The 19,010-nt window shown below is 37.8% G+C and overlaps 1 long non-coding RNA gene across 1 annotated transcript in view; it reads left to right on the top strand.

Moving 5' to 3' along the window:
- The first annotated feature begins 382 nt into the window (after positions 1 to 382).
- Positions 383 to 19,010, top strand: part of LOC105374785 (uncharacterized) — a 48,470-nt gene continuing 29,842 nt past the window's right edge. Inside the window, exon 1 of the long non-coding RNA XR_940210.3 lies at positions 383 to 473. This is a non-coding gene — a long non-coding RNA (uncharacterized LOC105374785). The remainder of the gene's footprint in view (positions 474 to 19,010) is intronic.

Below are 19,010 nucleotides of genomic sequence, written 5' to 3'. Positions count from 1 at the left end.
ATCAAACATGATTAATATCTGCCCTAACTCAAAAGGAAACATTGTTAGCTTAAAGAAAAGCTCTTCTAATTCTCCTCATCTTACCTGAACTGAACACCTTCTCTGATGGACATTGATACCCTCCAAATAACATTTCTTTGGAAAGTGCACCATCTTTTCTCATAGCTAAAAAGTGTATGAAATATGGCATAAGTGGAAAAACAGTATATCCTTTAAGATGATGACAACGTTAGGTTTATGTTAGGGCCTCACACTCTTGCCTCAGGGGAAGAAACGGAAGAGAGAGATGATAATGAGAAATTTATCTGATTCTACTGAGGCCTTGCCTAAAAATTCAATTCTTCAGATTTTTAATATGTGCTCACTTTTGTCCTTCAGATATTGGAAGGTACTCAATATTGTATGAACATTCTCTGGTGGTTCGTGAAATCATGGTGACTTGGGTCTGGGCCCAATCTCAATTCATTTGCAAGGTAAGCATCAATGTTGCCAGTATTGCACTTCATCGGGAAAATGTTCTCTCACTTCTGTTATTATCATGCCTACGTATTCTTTATGAACTAGAAAAATTTATTTTATCATTCCCCTCCCAATACATACACATGCACATGCACACACATAGAGTCAACTCTCGTAGGTTTTGTGGGATATATAAAAAGCTGTATGTGAAAGCAAGAATCTTTTTTTTTTTTTTTGAGATGGAGTCTCGGTCTGTCACCCAGGCTGTAGTGCAGTGGCGCGATCTCGGCTCACTGCAAGCTTCGCCTCCAGGGTTCATGCCATTCTCCTGCCTCAGCCTCCCAAGTAGCTGTGACTGCAAGTGCCTGCCCCCACGCCTGGCTAATTTTTTGTATTTTTAGTAGAGACGGGGTTTCACCATGTTAGCCAGGATGGTCTCAATCTCCTGACCTCGTGATCCACCCGCCTCCTGACCTCATGATCCACCCGCCTTGGCCTCCCAAAGTGCTGGGATTACAGGCATGAGCCACCACGCCTGGCCAAAAGCAAGAATCTTTAGAAAGAAATATCCTACAGGGTATGAATGCAAACAGCAATATGATACAGTATTGAAAATAGGTGCAAAAATAAGTAACTCCCTTTGCCCTATCTTTGTGCAGGTGTCATATCAATCTTGCATAGTGATTTATACTAGTTGTGTCTAATTGACTCCCACCATTTACCATCAAAGCTAGGCTGCAATAGCTTAAATCTGTTCAATTGAGTCAATTGCTCAATTTGAATAAGCCATACCCTTTGCTCTGGGGGTAAGTATATAACATGTTCACTTTTAAAGAAATGGACTGGCAATTTCTAGAGAAGTATTATTTATCTAAAAGTAATAAAAACTCTTAAATATATGAGGAAGTTATTTACATAGAAGCTATTTTATAATACATTATACCACACTCTATGGAATGCAGACTCTGGAAACAGACTGGCTGTGTTTACATCCCGTATCTTACCAACTGTGTAACCTTGGGCAAGATACTTAGCCTCTCAGTGTCTTTGTTATTTTGAAAGTGGACAATAATGACAGTACTAACCACATGGGAATGTTATGTGGTTAAAATGATTAATAAATGTTAAGTAATTAGAACTGTGTCTGGTATATAGGAAGTTCTATGGAAGTTTTTTTAACATAAAAATTGTATCTTCCTTATAGGATTAGATACTGTAATGGTTAATACTGAGTGTCAACTTGGTTGGATTGAAGGATGCAAACTATTGATCCTGGGTGTGTCTGTGAGGATGTTGTGAAAGGAGATTAACATTTGAGTCAGTGGGCTGGGAAAGGCAGACACAACCTTAATCTGGGTGGACACCACCTAATCAGCTGCCAGCGTGGCCAGAATATAAAGCAGGCAGAAAAACATGACAAGACTAGACTGGCTTAGCCTCCCAGCATACATGCTTCTCCTATGCTGGATGCTTCCTGCCTTTGAACATCGAAATCCAGGTTCTTCAGCTTTGGGACTCAGACTGGCTTCCTTGCCCTTCAGCTTGCAGACAGTCTACTGTGAGACCTTGTGATCATGTGAGTTAATACCCCTTAATAAACTTCATATACATATATACACACATATATATGTGTGTGTATATATACTATATTGCATATATATACACACACACATATGTACACACTTATATATGTGTGTGTGTGTATATATATATATATCTTATTAGTTCTGTTTCTCTAGAGAACACTGACTAAGACAGATAAGTAAACTCTTCTAAAGCACTAAGATAGTACCTGGCATGTAAGTAATTACTACATGCATTCCCTAGTATTACACAGATTGGAAATTATTTACATTTTCCATTAACCACTCACTACATTGGTGCTGATAAAGGGATATAACAATTGGATAAAGACAAAAAGTAGCCTTTATTTAGCACCAGCTATGTGTCAGTCACCCCATTAGCTATGAGCATTAAATTGTCTCTGCCAATTTTCACTAAAACCAAATAAAGTACAACTGCCACAGTTTTACATAAAAGGTGATAAAACCCAGGAAGGTGAAGCAAGAGACAAACCATAAAAACATGAAGCAAATGAGTCCTGGAGAACTCAGACTTGCCAGACACCAAAATCCAAGCTCGTTCCGCTAGATTTCATAGTTTGTGTTTTCAAGGAGCTAACAACTTAGTGAGTAGATAAATACACATAAATAATTATGGGCATACCAGGCATTGACAAACATCTAAACAAAGATATAAGCAGTATGTGAACACAGCAAAGGGAGACACATCAGATTGGAGAGGATAGAGGAAGCGCTTTAGAAAAAGGATGACATTTGTTCTCAATGCCAGAGAAAAGTATTCCTTCAATAACAATGATCACTGGCTGCAGAACATGTTTTGCATTGGGTAAGATATTCAACGAAGAGCAGGGTGCAGTGGTAAATGTGGGCAAATGAGTGAACACTGAACCTGGAGTAAAGGGTGGATGGACTGGAACAGGGTAAAGGAAAAAGACTAGGAGAAAAAGTGGAGGGCATTGTGAAAAACATCCGCAAAATCTCATGCCTTGGGACTCTTAAAACCTTGGAGAACCATGCTGAACACAAACCTTGTGTGCTTTCTCAGACTTAACTGCCTGTTTATCTACAAAGGTTACATGTGCCTCTTGGGCAACTATGCCCATGCTATCTTTGCATAGCTCCCCAGCAGCTGTAGTCTGAATTGAAATCACAGAAATGAAGAAACTTGCCTCCCTCATGCCAAGCCCTCTCAGTGCTAAGGTATCTCTCCACTTTCTAACCTGGAAAAAACACCCTATAGAGAGGCTTGGGGTCTGATTGCAGGCACAGCTGCCAAGAGGTTGAAGGATGCAACCTTGGGGAGTTAGCTCGGCATGGAGTAAACTTGGATCAATGAACAAAAAGAGGTTGCAGGGTGCGAGGAAGGTGAGTTCCCTTTCATTTCTTCCTTCTTTGGGCTATTCTGAGGTGCAGTTTCTGCTGAGTGCCTAGCACACACATGTGCTGAGCGACCTGCTATGTCCCATTGCAGTTCACTGTGTAGCAAATGCCAGCTAGATGGCTCAGAGCATCACACTGCTTTGCATCTACCCTTGCTTTGCATCTACCCTTGCTTTGTTTCTCTTTTTTTTTTTCCTACCTTACAACGGGCTTCTCCCTCTCAAATTAAAAACTAAACAAAACAAAAACAGAACTTTAATCCTGCCTCAGGCTCTGCTTCCTAGCGGACTAGAACTAAGGGAAGAACAATGTGTTTCCCTATTTATCTGTACACTTGTCTATCCCTAATTTTCCAGCACTTCTTACCAATCCTTTAAAAATCCTGAAAAGTTTCATAAAGAGAGTGAATTAAACCATGCATGGTGATGCATACCTGCAATCCAGCTACTCAGGAGACTGAGGAGAGAGGGTCACTTGAGCCCAGGAGTTCAAGGCTGCAGTGAGCTAGGATCACAACATTGCACTCCAGCCTAGGCAATAAAATGGTGAGATCTCATGTCTAAAAATAAAATACAATAAAATACAATAAAAAATAATAAATAAAAGAGAGAAAAAATTAAAATTCAACACTATAGGTCAAACCACAGTTATATGGAGATGTCATACATTATTTTATTGGAAACTCTGATTAATGACATAGAATTCACATCTTAAGATGCTAGTGCCATTCTCAAACACCATAGTTAAACACTCTCTTAAGAGTTTTCTTAGTGCTTCTAGTAGTTGCCTTCTGGATAATGCAAACAGATTTACCCGTATTCACTCATTTATTTATTTATCAATAATTGACTAAATTTTTAGCTCTAGTAACTATCCTAAGTATTGAGATAGAGAGGGGTGTGTGTGTGTGCATGCTTGGTCATATAACATTCCTAGGAATTTTACAATCAGACGTCAATTAAAAATAACATATCACATTCAGAATCCACACATAATACCATGTAGTATCAATATTCTGATTACAAACTTGGCTTGTACTTTTGCTCTAAGAGTGGCAAAAGGAGACACCAGTGACACTGCAGTTATAGTTCTACCTTTGTAATACCAATATTGTCAACTAAAAGGGAAAGATTTCTATCACTTAAGTGGTAGTTAAAGCACATATATTAAGTTATCATTTTAGTTTTGTATTAGCCAGTGAGTTTGAACTTATGCAGAGTCTTTTTTGATGTATACATTTAAAGGTTTTGTTTCTATTTACCCCCTTTTAGCAAAGTAAAACTCAATCCCATTGCCTTGCCTCTCTTTATTGTCACTGTGTCTTTTCTGGAATTGATAAAATCAGATTATCTGCTTTATTTTTTCTCGGTATTGCTAGCATCCTAGCTTTGAGTAACCTGGAATACCCTGATAACACCATTGGTCAAGTTATTATTACATTTAAAGCAGGTTTGCTAGAGGAGGAAAATACTTACGTTTCTTATGAGCAAACAAAATGAAAAAGTCTAGCTCTGATTTTGTAGGGGTGAGATGTAGGTTTTAAATTAGCAGAAAGGTAAAATCATAAGGTCCATCTCCTACACAAAGTTATCTTGTCCATTTCAGATTATACTTCTTTTTTTTTTTTCTGTTTGAGCCTCCCCCATTTTTGATGGAAAGGGTTGGGCTTATCAAGAGGCAAAAGAAGCATTAGAACATGTCAGTCATCCATAAAAAACAACCAAATATGAACCTAGAACTACTTGAGAAAATATGCCATTGTCTGTTGCAATGCCTCTCATGGTATGTCCATGAACTGCTCTGTGGCAAGTGTCCTTAGTTAAGGAGCTTGTGCCAGAAAATAAATCAACTGTCACTAAGCACCGTGTTCAGTTCAGCTGACCACTTTTTCATGGTAAGACCTTCTTAAAGTGAGTAGAGCACTGATTTACATTCTGGCACCAACATCTTATTTCACTGCAGGAAGGTGGTTTGAGTAGCACTGACCTACCGCATTAGTCAAGACAGTCTTTGTTACGCTGCAGCAACAAGCAACCCCCAAATTTCAATGGCTTAACCCAACCCAACTGCTATGGTTTGGCTCTGTCTCCCCATCCAAATCTCATCTCAAATTGTAATCCCTACGGTCAAGGGAGGGACCTGCAATCCCCATGTGTTGAGGGAGGGAGGTGATTAGCTCATGGGGGCGGTTTCCCTCATGCTGTTCTCGTGCTAGTGAGTGAGTTCTCAAGAGATCTGATGGTTTTATAAGTGCTTGGAAGTTCCTCCTTCACACCTTCTCTCTCCTGCCACCTTGTGAAGAAGGTGTGTGCTTTCCCGTCCACCATGATTGTAAGTCTCCTGAGGCTTCCCAGCCATGTGGAACTGTGAGTCAATTAAGCCTCTTTCCTTTATAAATTACCCAATCTCAGGGAAGTTCTTTATAGCAGTGTGAAAATGGGCTAATACACCAACTCTAATTTCTCCGTCATGTTATTCATCTCATACAGGTTGGTGGGGGCTCAGTTGCAGTCATAGGGATGGGCTGTGGGAGGTTTCACCCTCTAGCAGTTGAACCTCTTGTACTGTGTGTCCTCTTCATTTACCATCACAGGAGAAGAAAGACAGACAAGCAAAAGCCTGTATGCCTCTGTCACATAAGTAACACCTGCCACTTCCACACACATGTCATTGGCAAGACCTAACCACAAGGCCTCACTCGACTTCAAGGAGGATGGCAAATGGTGAGAGCAAATAGAGTATTTCATGAGCATCAGAGTCACTGCCATATCCACCATGCCAAACTATATGACACTAAATTAATAAATTTATAAATCATAACTTTAACTTCATGTGTTTGAACATGACAACACGATTAGAGAGGCATCTAAGATTTAACATTTTCTCAATCTTTTCTTTTTCTTTTTTTTTTTTATTAAGATGGATTCTCTCTCTGTCACCCAGGCTAGAGTGCAGTGGCGTGATCTTGGCTCACTGTAACCTCTGCCTCCCAGGCTCAAACAATTCTCCTGCCTCAGCCTCCCAGGTAGCTGGAACTGCAGGCATATGCCACTACGCCTGGTTAATTTTTGTATTTTTTTTTTTTAGTAGAGTCAGGGTTTCCCCATGTTGGACAGGCTGGTCTCAAGCTCCTGACCTTAAGTGATCTGCCCACCCTGGCCTCTCAAAGTGCTGGGATTACAGGCATGAGCCACCGCACCTGGCCTCCTTTCTTCTTTATGACCTTTAACTGGTAGTGTTACATTTTGCAATCCTTAAAAAAAAGAGTGCTGTAAATGGAAAAATTCCTTATGTTGAAATTTGAATCAGCTCTAGCACAATCTTGTCTTCTGATGTAACCACATTTCTGAAGAGAAAAAGTCCTCCTTGATCTGTCCTCTTGCTCTGAACCTCAGCTACATCAAGGAAACACCTTGTGTCCTGGAGGGGCAGCTCCTTCCTTGGTGGACTCACCTCCTCTAATATAGTTTTCATAGGCTTAGCATCACTGGGCAAGTCACCCGCCACCTCTGCCTTGTGCAGAATTTGCATTATCTAAAGATCACTTTGTAAGCTATGGTCCATTCGCCTTTGCAAATACTGTTTAAATATAGCATCCATAAATAAATGTTAAATAATTCATGAACATAATTTTGTAAATTCTGCTAGGCCACACCTCTCTAGGGGCATATTTATGAACATGCATCAGCCCGGAATCAATGTGTCTGCCAAGCTCCTTGCCTCTGAGGCAGAATTCCCACATCTAGCCCAAAATGCTGCAAACGGCTCCGATTCCTTTTCAGTAGTCATCCATCATACTGTCACTTTAATTCAGATGCTGCTACTTGTTTTAATAACATACATCTTACACAAAGAATATTGCTAACACAAGAATCTTGGGGTAGATTTTTACAACCTCATAAAATGGTATTAACCCTCTGATCCCTGATCTTCTTTTCATGCAGCAGGGGCCTCTGAATGCTTTCCCTGCCCCCTCTACACCCTCCAATCTTCCTGATGCTTATCAATAACCTTTGTTCATGGGGCTATATAGCACCAGGACCTGACATCAATCACTGCAGTAAAAATATTATTCCTCCAGCATTGCCCTGAAGAATTATGGAAAGAATAAAATTGTTATTGCAGGAATTATTTAGCAAACAATAGATGGATAAAATGTATTACAGTAAGTGTTAAATTATATCACCTCATTATGGAGAGCCAACTTCAGATACCATGAAGGTGGCTCACTGCCTTTTCTAAGTAGTTCAGAAGAACAATGGCAAAGACTACAAAAGATTTCAAAAGAAAACACCAGACTATCACAGCTAGGATATATTCTACTGAGGAGACATTTGTTTGGGGGAATAATTTGGAAGAATGCCTCCTCCTGCCCATTTTGAATAGTAAGTTGGAATTCACAGATGAACAATAGGGGTTTATATTTAGTTATTGACTATAGGATGCTATTCTAGGAAAGAGAGATTCTTAAGAAAATAGACGTGTGGTCTAATCACCCCCACTTCCACTTAGTCACTCCTCACACTTTCTGCACACTCCTCTAAGCAGGGGTTGGGGGGACCATTTTCATTGGTGAGGGAAATATACATCTATTACAATTGGGTATTGGTTATAGAAAAGTGGACCATACCGATATTCGTAGCCTCTGCCAGTGTTGGAAAATAATGTTCTTGAAATGTCAGATTAAGGCCTGCATTTTAAGTACTATTAAGGATACCTAAGCAAGGTTGGAAGCCAAGTTGTTGTTTTTTTTTTTTTTTTTGACCAAGTAGTCTTTTATCAGTTATTGCATATTTTTTTTTCTTTTTTCTTTTTCTTTCTTTTTTTTTTTTTTTTTAGGCATAATGTTACACTGGGCTCCTGGGATTCATTTGATCAACATGATTAAATTATTTCCTTACTCAGCTAGAAGGAAATTACTAGTTACCAGACATTATGTGTCTGTTAATTATGTGCAATAAGGCTCTCTCCAATCACACCAGCTCCTGCATTCATGTTCTGTGCATTTTAAAGGCATTATCTTAAAAATTTTAAATATTGAAAAGGGACAGCTATAATTTTGTTTCATCTATTTAATAAATAAGTAATCTGTGAAATCAGTGGTACAAAGTGTTTCTTTGCCCTTCGTGTCAGCATAGACATTCTTAGGAAGAACATACTAAAAGATTCTTTTCACTTCTGTTTTCACAAAAGAATGTTTCTCTTCAGCTTTCTAGGGCAACAGCCAGATCTTCTGTTACCGAACAGAGTGAATATGGGCATTGCCAAAAATACAAAAACAAAACCCTGTGATTGTGTGGCTCCTCAATGCGTTCTGCTCACCTGGGGTGGGTGATGGTGCCAAATTTACATTCCCTCTTGTAGCTCAATCTACAATAGGAGCTTTCAAATGAGATTTTTTTCTTTTTTCCTTTCTTGCAAAGGAAGAGACAACATATGGTAGCCGAGAGGCCTTATTTTGCCTCCTAATGAAATGATGTGCTTCTGTTTCATATTAAAGTGTTAATTGGTCTGAAATTAGGTCTTACCAAAAAAATAGTGCTTTTAAAATACTTAATATGATTCATTTTCTGCAGTCAAAGCCAGATGACTTTTATTTTTGTATCAAAAAGAGAAAGTGGAAAGCTAGCTCTTCCTCTCCTGATGCCCCCACACCTCCCCATCTGCCTGCGCTTGGGACCCAGATCCAATAACTGGCTTATAGAACAGAAAGCTCTTTAGAGTCAGAGCTTGCGCCAAAGCCTAGAAGGTTTTGTTTGAGTTTGAGAATCTTCATAGGTTTATGAAATCTCAACAAATATTTCAAAGAAGGAAGTTTCACATTTGAAGTAGGTGATCCTATTAGGCGCTGAGAGACAGCGCCTTTGTTGTGGGCCCAGGCAGCATTTTATGTAAGATAGAGCTGTGTCCCACTAATATGCCAAGACATCACTTTCATGCCAGAAACAGATAGGGCTGAACTTGTTTCATGCACTTTGGCTTTCATTGTTAATAATGAATGATGAAAGTTCAGAGTAGAGGAACTAAGTGGATACTCGGCTTTAAAAGAATGAATTTTAACAAGCAACATGCCAAACTAGTCAGACACACCACTTAGATGGTCAGCAAAGAGTGCACAAAGAGAGAACTCATCCTGCAACTCTATCCACAGCCAGCAGTTCACAGAGAGCCCACTGTGGGGACACTGGTTATTCTGTGAGCCAGGAGAAGCAGGAGGTGACTCCCCTTCAAGATAGATTTCAGCTGCTCCAGGTCAAGTGACACGTGCTTCTCCTACTCCCACCGCACTCCCAAGGCCTGAGGGTGGTAGGAGGACCCAGGAGTCACAAAATTGGAAGCTCTTGTCCTGGTTTCACAGAATGGGAAGGAGATGGACATTGAAACAGGGACAAGAAATGAATTTTAAATCTTAATGGATAAAAATATTGATTAAATGAATTAGAGCTTCTTCTAAGTAAAGCCAACACTTCAAAATTCACAATTTCTTTTAATTTATTCCTTCCTTTCTTCTTCCTTCCTACCTTTTCCTTAGTTCCTTCTTCCTATGCTGCTCCCTTTCTTCCTTTGTTCTTCCTTCTTGTTTTTCCCCTTGCCTTCTTTTTCTTTTCTCCTTCCTTCCTTCATCCTTCCCTCCCACCTTATATTTCTTCCTTTCTTCCTCCCCCACTTCCTTCCGCCTTGCTTCCTCCCTTCCTTTCTCACTCCCTCGCTTCCTTCCTTAATTTCTTTCTCTTTCTTTTTCTTTATTTTAATTTATAAGTTGACTTTCTGGAAAAGGAAGTCAATAACAAAAAGCACACTCTGAAGATCACTTACATAGTATTTATTCATTCAACCAATATTCATTAAATGCTTACTTCATGCTAGATATCTAGTAGGCATCCAGGATAGAAGATTGAACAAAATGCACCCAGTCTCTTCTCTCAAGAGCTCAGAATTTAAACTACTGGGTGCAATACATTTTCAGCTCAGTCTCCTACACCATCTACAGTCACAACTTTGGAGGATGAGAACTGATCATCTGTTCCATCAGTTTGATCATCAAAGATTCCAGTTCATCCTTTCAACTTGACATCTAGAACAATAAAATGGACATTTTAGCAACTGATATTTTAAAAAAGATTTTCCGCAATAAAGAATAAAACCACACAATTTGGGAATTTAAGTGGAGATTTGAAAGATATAGAATGCCAAATTCTCTGAAAAACACATTTGAGGTTGTCTTAAATGTGTTGTAAGAGAGTGGGTGGGTAAGGAGAAAAGGACCCTGCGCTGGTAGCCAGGACATGGTAACTATAGCCTGTCATTACCATGTTCTAAGGGTGACCTCCAGCACAGCCCTTCACGATTCTCAGCAGCCTGATCCATTATAGTAGTGTTTTACCGTTTGCCTTCTATACCTCATTGAATTGATGGGAAGATCAACACAAATGCTATACAAATAGAATGGATTACACTAATATCTTTTGATAGTCAAGAGCCCTGCAAATTTAAATTCTGGGCCTTCAAAGCCAAATTTTAGAAAAGAATTGCTTGATATTTAATGCCATACAAATGAGAACATTCTCATACTCTCAGTTTAGCAGAGTACCCTAATTTTAGGCACTTCTCTGAGATGCTGAGGCTCTTGTCCTAGCATTTAAATCAAAGAATTCTTTATAGATAATCTATAGGACTATTTCACTTTAGGTGTCAGAATTTGCTTTAGAGTATCTTCCCAACCACATCCAGACCACGGCAAACCAGCCTTAGGAATAGACGCAATATCATTGCTCATACAACTGCAGTAAGATATTGATTCGCCCTTTTTCCACCTTAGAAAGTCAGGCTGATACCGACAGATCATGAACTGATTACTAGCTTGTATTTTTGCAAGGCTATAAAATATGGAAGCTCAGTTTTGCTTATTTTTTTCTATTAGTTGAAACCACCAGTTGTTTCAGTGCCAGAACTGTAGACATGCCCTGTAAGCCTCGTCAACTGTGCCTTTGACTTGTAAACCCACTGCCATTTGCAGTTTGATGACTGGATATCTTTCCACACCAGCAGGATTGGGTGCACACATTTGTGTTGCCTTGTACAGAATTGTTCCTTTGCCTTGTACAATTTACCTCCCAGCTACCCTCATCTTACCCATCTTAACAACAAATCCTAAAATGTCTTTCTCCCCGGAACACACATTTTTCTTCTGTGGTTTGAATTTTGGATGCTATGGTCCTTGTGTCTTCTCTGGAGACTGGCCTTGGGTGTCTAATTGAAATGCCCCTTTATTTCCCTTGCTTTGAACATACTGTTCCCTTTAGATTATTTCTCCAAATTTGGAACCTAGCTATAGCCTTTGGATTTTTGCTTTAAAATCTCTTGAAAAATAAACTCTTCCCTGATAAGAAACATTATTGATATTTCTTTTACATCCCTTCTGCTTTTTTGTACTTCAAGTATTTAGAGATGTACAACATTTACAAAACAACATTGTCTATAATAGCAAAAATGAGATTTACCCGTTTATCATTAAATTAGTGAAATAAAATATGCTATATTAGCATGACAGAATATTAAGCAGCATTAATGACATGTATAGAGATGAATATTTACTGACATTGAATGTATACATGTTACATTAAGTAAAAGATAGAAAAGCACTCCTCTACAACCAATTAGTCAATTTACTATCTATCTACTTACCTACATGATCTCGACCTATCTTTCTATCTAGTTCATTAAAGCAAATAATTGTTTACTTACGGATGGTGGGAGTACGGGCATATTTTAATTTCTCCTTTATGCATAGATATACTTTTCAATTTTCTAAAATAAATATTTCTTGCCTTTGAAATAATTTAAAAAGCAACGAAGATTAAAGCAAAATAATAAGACTCCTGGCTAGTGCAGTCCTTGTGGACACATTGGGCGATTACACCAAGTCCTGACTCAGCACTGATTATGAGTTCTCCTAATTCCCACCATTAGCCTCTCAGGAATCAGGTACTCTATATACAATATATGCCTTTAGCTTTTGCTCAGTACATTATATGAAGTAGGTACTCCATGAATGGTTAATGAATTTAAATAAACAAAAATCTTTCTCTAGTGCCCTGTAAATGCTAAGAATAAAGAATGCATTGTTATGTAAATGGTATAACTTAGGTTCTTCATACCTACAGTAGGTTTGACTGTGACTCCTACTTATTCACCACTCCTGAATTCACATCCTCTACCATGTGACTGTACAGTTTCTCCCCCTAAAGGCAGAGTACACTTCTCCGCCCATTAACTTTAGGCTTGACTACATGTCCTGCCTATGGGATATTAGCAAACATAGAAGCAGAGGATTGAAATGTGCTTGCACACTTCTTCCTTGAGCTTCTGTCATCACCATGAGAAGATAATGACTTGGCTAGTTTACTAATCTGAGGAGGATGGGAAACATATAGACAAGATTTGAACCTGATGTATAAAGCAGAACCGTGCTTAGTTGAGCCAAGCCTGTTTCAGCCTACAAACCACCTTGACTCTCACTGCCAGCCCAACAGGAGATGCATGAATGAGAATAAATTATTGTTGTTTTTAATCCACTATGTTTATGATAACTTGTTACTTAGCACCATTATGGAATTAGTTGATCAATACATTTCCTGGATGTTAAATTTTATTATATCAATAGTTGCATATAAGATATTAGTAAAACTTGATAAAAAGTGCATAATTCCAGATATAACAATGATCACAACATAGTCTTTAATTATTATATATTTCTGGAAAATGGACAAGACAGGTCCGAAGTTTAAGAGTATAAAGGAATTGAGAAGCCTCTTGGAAGTCAATTCAGGTAAGGTGAGCCACTCAAGACAACACTTGAGTTTTGACTGTTAGGAACACCAATTTCAAATGGGGCATAGTGTAAACATGTACACCATCTAGTCCTGCAGACTCAGATTTGGGTCCTTGAGAGAGAAGGAGGTAGAAGCCATAGCAGTGCATGATGACAGATTGAGTGGAACACAGAGGAAGCTCAAGTAATGACCAGTAATAACTGACCATACTTACGTGGGAGCAGATATGAGACACAGTTTAGGCTTCTCCCAAATTCTGAGATACAGCATATTGAAGAAGATGTGCTTCATAAAAATAATGGCAAGAGCCAGGGTAAAATGTGGTTTGCTATTGTTTTACAAGACTTCATTAAGATGACCCCATTTGTTCTCATGGCCTAGTGAGGCATCAGGAAACTGAAGTTGTAAGAGTGCTGTTTCACATCAACAAGCAGAGGTGGGATCTCGCCATGTTGCTGCCAAACTGGGGTATCGCACTTGAGTTTGCCACTAGTTCAAAAGACCCAAACGTGCATCCAGGAAGTTTATAAAGTCATGTGAAATCCTCTTTTAATATTTTTGCAACTTTGCATGACAATTGCTGCTCACAAGGCCATAGTGACTCAAGAAATGAGGTGTAGCATGGGTTGCCAAAGAGAAAAATAAAAGCATCACTAAAGGTGTTCCACATCTGAGAGACATCAAGTTAGATATGGAAGAAAATAGCTATTACTTAATTTTATAAATTAAAAACAGTCAGAGCTGCTCTTCTTTTTATTTTGAAACTTTTTTTTTATAAAATAGTGGCGGTAGACAGATTTTACATGCTCTAGTGGTTTCTATTGAACTCGTACTTTCAAAAAAATTTTCTGTTTGCTTTTGGTAAGATTTGAATGGGTCATAAGTATGTGGACACCAAAAATTAAAATGCTACTTAAACTTTTACCAACTGTTTTAATATACATCAAACAAACTGCATTAATCCTTTTATAGTCGTTTTGACCTACCCTGTCTGCATCTTAATCATTTTCTTGTTGTGCCAATATTGTTTGCATAAGAGTAGGCTTATAATTTATGTTTTTTATTAAAAGGTGTCTGTGGAAAAGAGATTTACCATGGCTCTTCAGAAAATTATATTTTTAATCAGCTGTAGAAATTCATGGCACTTTCTACATATGGGGCACCTATTACAATGATCCAAACAGACCAAAGCCAACAAATAATCATGTCTGTCTATTGTTAATTCTTAGAAGAACAAACATATGTTTTGAATGTCGTTACTGCTAAATTAGCAGGAGCAATCAGGCATCCTAGGAGAATAAAATAAAAATGCAGAGTACTATAGTATAATTACTATTTGCATTTAAATTTTGTGCAATACTTTTCTAATTCCATGTAGTAATAGTAATGTCTAACATTTACTGAGATCTTTGTGTGTGTCAATAAATAAGAGGATTACCTCAGTTAATCTTCACAACAATCACATGATATAGATACTATTATATCCATTTTGCATATGAAGGAAGAAACTGAGGTTTGGAGAGATAGAATCTCTTGTCCAAAGTTGCAGAGCTATTCAGCAGACACAAAGATTCAAGCTTGGCAGTTTGACTCTATTGCTCACGCTCTATGGTAGGCTTTCATTATTAATCTGCTATGCTAACGTTTGGTTTAGATATTAATTTTGACATAACAGTTAATTTTATCAGTAACAGAGAAAGTTCTATCATTTTGAAGGAAATAACTCTTTAGTACCTACTTCCAGAGTGGATTGTAATGGGAGAAACAAAGGATTTATCTGAAACAAAATACATCATTTATATTTCTTACCAAAATAATGATCATGGATATGCCTAATGGTACCCAAAGATTACTCTTTCTTTAGTAATTTAAAAAGACAAACTGTAAAAGGCGAGTGTTATAGCTTATTAGTGTTCAAATTTTTAGAATATGAAGTGCTTGATTGATATGCAAAATTTATGGAATAAGGATAGAGGCACAAACTGGAGGTCACAGGCTGTGGTCACAAACCCTGAAATGCATTCATTTATTCATTCACTTAATGGGTATTTATTGAGCACCTACAATGTGCATTGTTGTTGGTATGAAGAATCAACAATGAACAATTCATAAAAAACTACGTCTTCATGGAGCTTACATTCTAGTTGGGAGAAAGAGGAACAAATAAAAAAGTTTAAGTTCTTATATTAATAAGTATTATGATTTAAAAATAATGGAGGTGATGGCAGAGAAGGAGAAAACAAGGCCACACGTTTGTTAGGTGAAAAAGGCTGTAATATCACAGCTTCTAATTACATTAATGTAAAAAGAGGAGCGTAACATTCTGTCTTGATACTACCCTTACCCAAGGTGATATAGGTGCCTTAGTTGATTAGTGAATCACATTACTAACTGATTCCTTACTGTGAATGAATACGTGTAACTACTAATAAAATTCAGAAGTCTGCTCACATGGAGCTTACTAACAAATCAGAAGAAATATAATGTGCACTTACTAAAGTGAAAGAGAGGAGGGAAGAGCATGTCTCTTGCACCCATCCTGAAGTGGAGTTCAATCAGCAATTCAGAAAAGAGAAATCCTACAGGCTGGAATGACGATAGGGTTAGGACAGGCTCCTTAGGGGAGGAAAAAATCAAGTTTGGACTTCAAAATAGGTAGATGTGCTGCTGGACTTGGTTTGCTAGCATTTCGTTGAGGATTTTTATGACTGGGTTCATCAGGGATATCAGCCTGTAGTTTTTTTGTTGTTGTCGTGCCTTGCCAGATTTTGGTATCAGGATGACACTGGTTTTGTTGAATAAGTTAGGGAGGAATTCCTACCCTTTATTTTTTGGAATAGTTTCAGTAAGATTGGTACCAGCTATTCTCTATACTTTTGGTAGAATTCAACTGTGAATCTGTTTGGTCCAGGGCCTTTTTTGGTTGGTAGATTTTTATTACTAATTTACTTTCCTAACTCATTATTGGTCTGTTCAGGATTTTATCACAATCAAGGGGACTTTTTTCTGGGATGCAAGGGTGGTTCAACATATGCAAATCAATAAATGTGAATTACCACATAAACAATTAAAAACAAAACCCATATGATCATCTCACTAAGCACAGAAAAAGCATTTGATAAAATCCAACATCCCTTCATGATAAAAACCCCTCAACAAACTAGGCATCAAAGGAACATACCTCTAAATAGTAAGAGCCATCTATGGCAAACCCTCAGCCAACATCATACTGAATGAGAAAAAGTTGAAAATATTTCCCTTAAGAACTGGAACAAGACAAAGACGTCCACTCTTTCCACTCCCATTCAACATAGTACTGAAAGTCCTAGCCAGAGCAATTAGGCCAGAGAAAGAAATAAAAGGCATCCAAATGGGAAGGGAGGAAGTCAAATTACCTCTGTCTACCAAAAACATAATTCTATATCTAGAAAACCCTAAAGATTCTTCCAAAAGACTCCTAGACCTGATAAATGACTTCAGTAAACTTTCAGGATACAAAATCAATATACAAAAATTAGTAGTATTTTTATACACCAGTAACATTCAAGTCAAAAACCAAATAAATAACTTGATTCTATTTACAGTAGACACACACACACACACACACACACACACACACACACACACACACCACAAACACCTAGGTATACATTTAACCAAGGGGGTGAAAGATTTCTATATGGAGAACTACAAAACACAGATGAAATAAATCATAGGTGACACAAACAAATGGAAAAATATTCCATGCTCATGGATTGGAAGAATCAGTGTCATTAAAATGATTATACTGCTCAAAGCAATCTACAGATTCAATGCAATTTCTGTCAAATCATCAAAGTCATTTTTCACAGAATTAGAAAAAAATTCTGAAATTCATATGAAACCAAAAGAGCCTGAATAGCCAAATCAATCCTAACCAAAAAGAACAAAGCTAGATCTATCACATTATCTGACTTCAAACTATACTACTACAAGGCTGTAGGAACCAAAACAGCATGGTACTAGTATAAAAATAGACATAAAGACCATACAGAATAGAGAACACAGAAATAAAGACACATACTTACAACCAACTGATCTTTGATAAAGTTGACTAAAATAAACAGTGGGGAAAGGACACCCTGTATAATAAATAGCCCTAGGATAGCTGGCTAGCCATATATACACAGAAGAATGAAACTAGACTCCCACCTCTCACCGTATACAAAAATTAACTCAAAACAGATTAAAGACTTAAATATAAATATAAGACTTCAAACTATAGAAATCCTAGAAGAAAACCTGGGAAAAATTATTCTGGACATTTGCCTAGACAAAGAATTTATGACTAAGACCTCAAAGCAAATGCAATAAAAACAAAACTTGACAAATAATTAAACTAAAGAGCTTCTGCACAGCAAAAGAAAGTCAATAAACAGACAACCTACAGAATGGAAGAAAATATTTGCAAGTTATGCATTTGACAAAGGACTGATATCCAGAATCTATAAGGAATTTAAACAAACCAACAAGAAAAAGAAACAAACAACCCCTTTAAAAAGTAGGGAAGGACATAAACAGATACTTCTCAAAAGAAGACATACAAGCAGCCAACAATCGTGAAAAAATGCTCAACATCACTAATCATCAAAGAAATGCAAATTAAAACCACCATGAGGTACCATCTCACACCAGTCAGAAAGGCTATTATTAAAAAGTGCAAAAATAACAGATGTTGGTGAGGATGCAGAGACAAGGGAACACTGATACATTGTTTGTGGGAAAAAAAATTAATTCAACTCTTATGGAAAACAGTATACAGATTTCTCAAAGAATGAAAAATGGAACTACCATTCAATGTAGCAATCCCATTACTGGGTACATAACCAAAGGAAAATAAATCATTTTATCAAAAAGACACCTGTACTCATATCTTTATTGCAGCATTATTCACAACAGCAAATCACAGAATCATCCTAAGTATCCATCAACAGTGGATTGGATAAAGAAAATATGATACATATGCAGCATGGAATACTAGGTAGCCACCAAAAAAAATGATTAAATCATGTCCTTTGCATCAACATAGATGCTGCTGGAGGCCATTATCGTAAGTGGATTAACACAGGGACAGAAAAAAAAATACTGCATGTTCTCACTTATAAGTGGGACCTAAGCAATGGGTATCATGAGCATAAAGATGGAGACAATTGACACTGGGGACTCAAAAATAGGGGAGGGAGTGAGGGAGGCAAGGATTGAAAAACTACCTATTGGTTACTATGCTCACTATATGGGTGATGGGTAAATAGAAGCCCAAACCCCAGCATTGGACAATATACTCATGTAACAAACCTACATATGTACCTTCTGAATCTAAAATGAAAGGAACAATAGGTAGAGTTTGATTAGGCAGAAACATTTCAGTCTGTCCTGGAAGATTTCTGAAAAGAGGGTCTATGTCTGTCCTCTTACCCCTCTCCATTCATATCTCTATTGCAGCAATTATTTTCTCCTGGTGAACCACATGCAACCATTTCCAGAGATCTTATGGCAGGCAGAAGTATAAGAAACGTGATGACACAGAGTCTTGGACTAAGAGGCGAACTGTGGGGTTGGGGGGGTTTTCCAGCCATGTGATCTTGGCCATGTCACCTAACCTCTCTGAGCCTCAGTTTTCTCACTTGAAGAAATGGCACAACAATAATTTCTCTGCCTCCTTCTCAGGACTACATGGAGTTTAAATGAGAAAAAGTGATGATGTAGAAATGCTCTT

The sequence above is a fragment of the Homo sapiens genome, chromosome 2, assembly GCF_000001405.40.
Source record: "Homo sapiens chromosome 2, GRCh38.p14 Primary Assembly".
NCBI lineage: Eukaryota > Metazoa > Chordata > Mammalia > Primates > Hominidae > Homo > Homo sapiens.
Note: the sequence above shows the minus strand (reverse complement) of the source record. Positions and strands in the feature narration are given on the sequence as shown.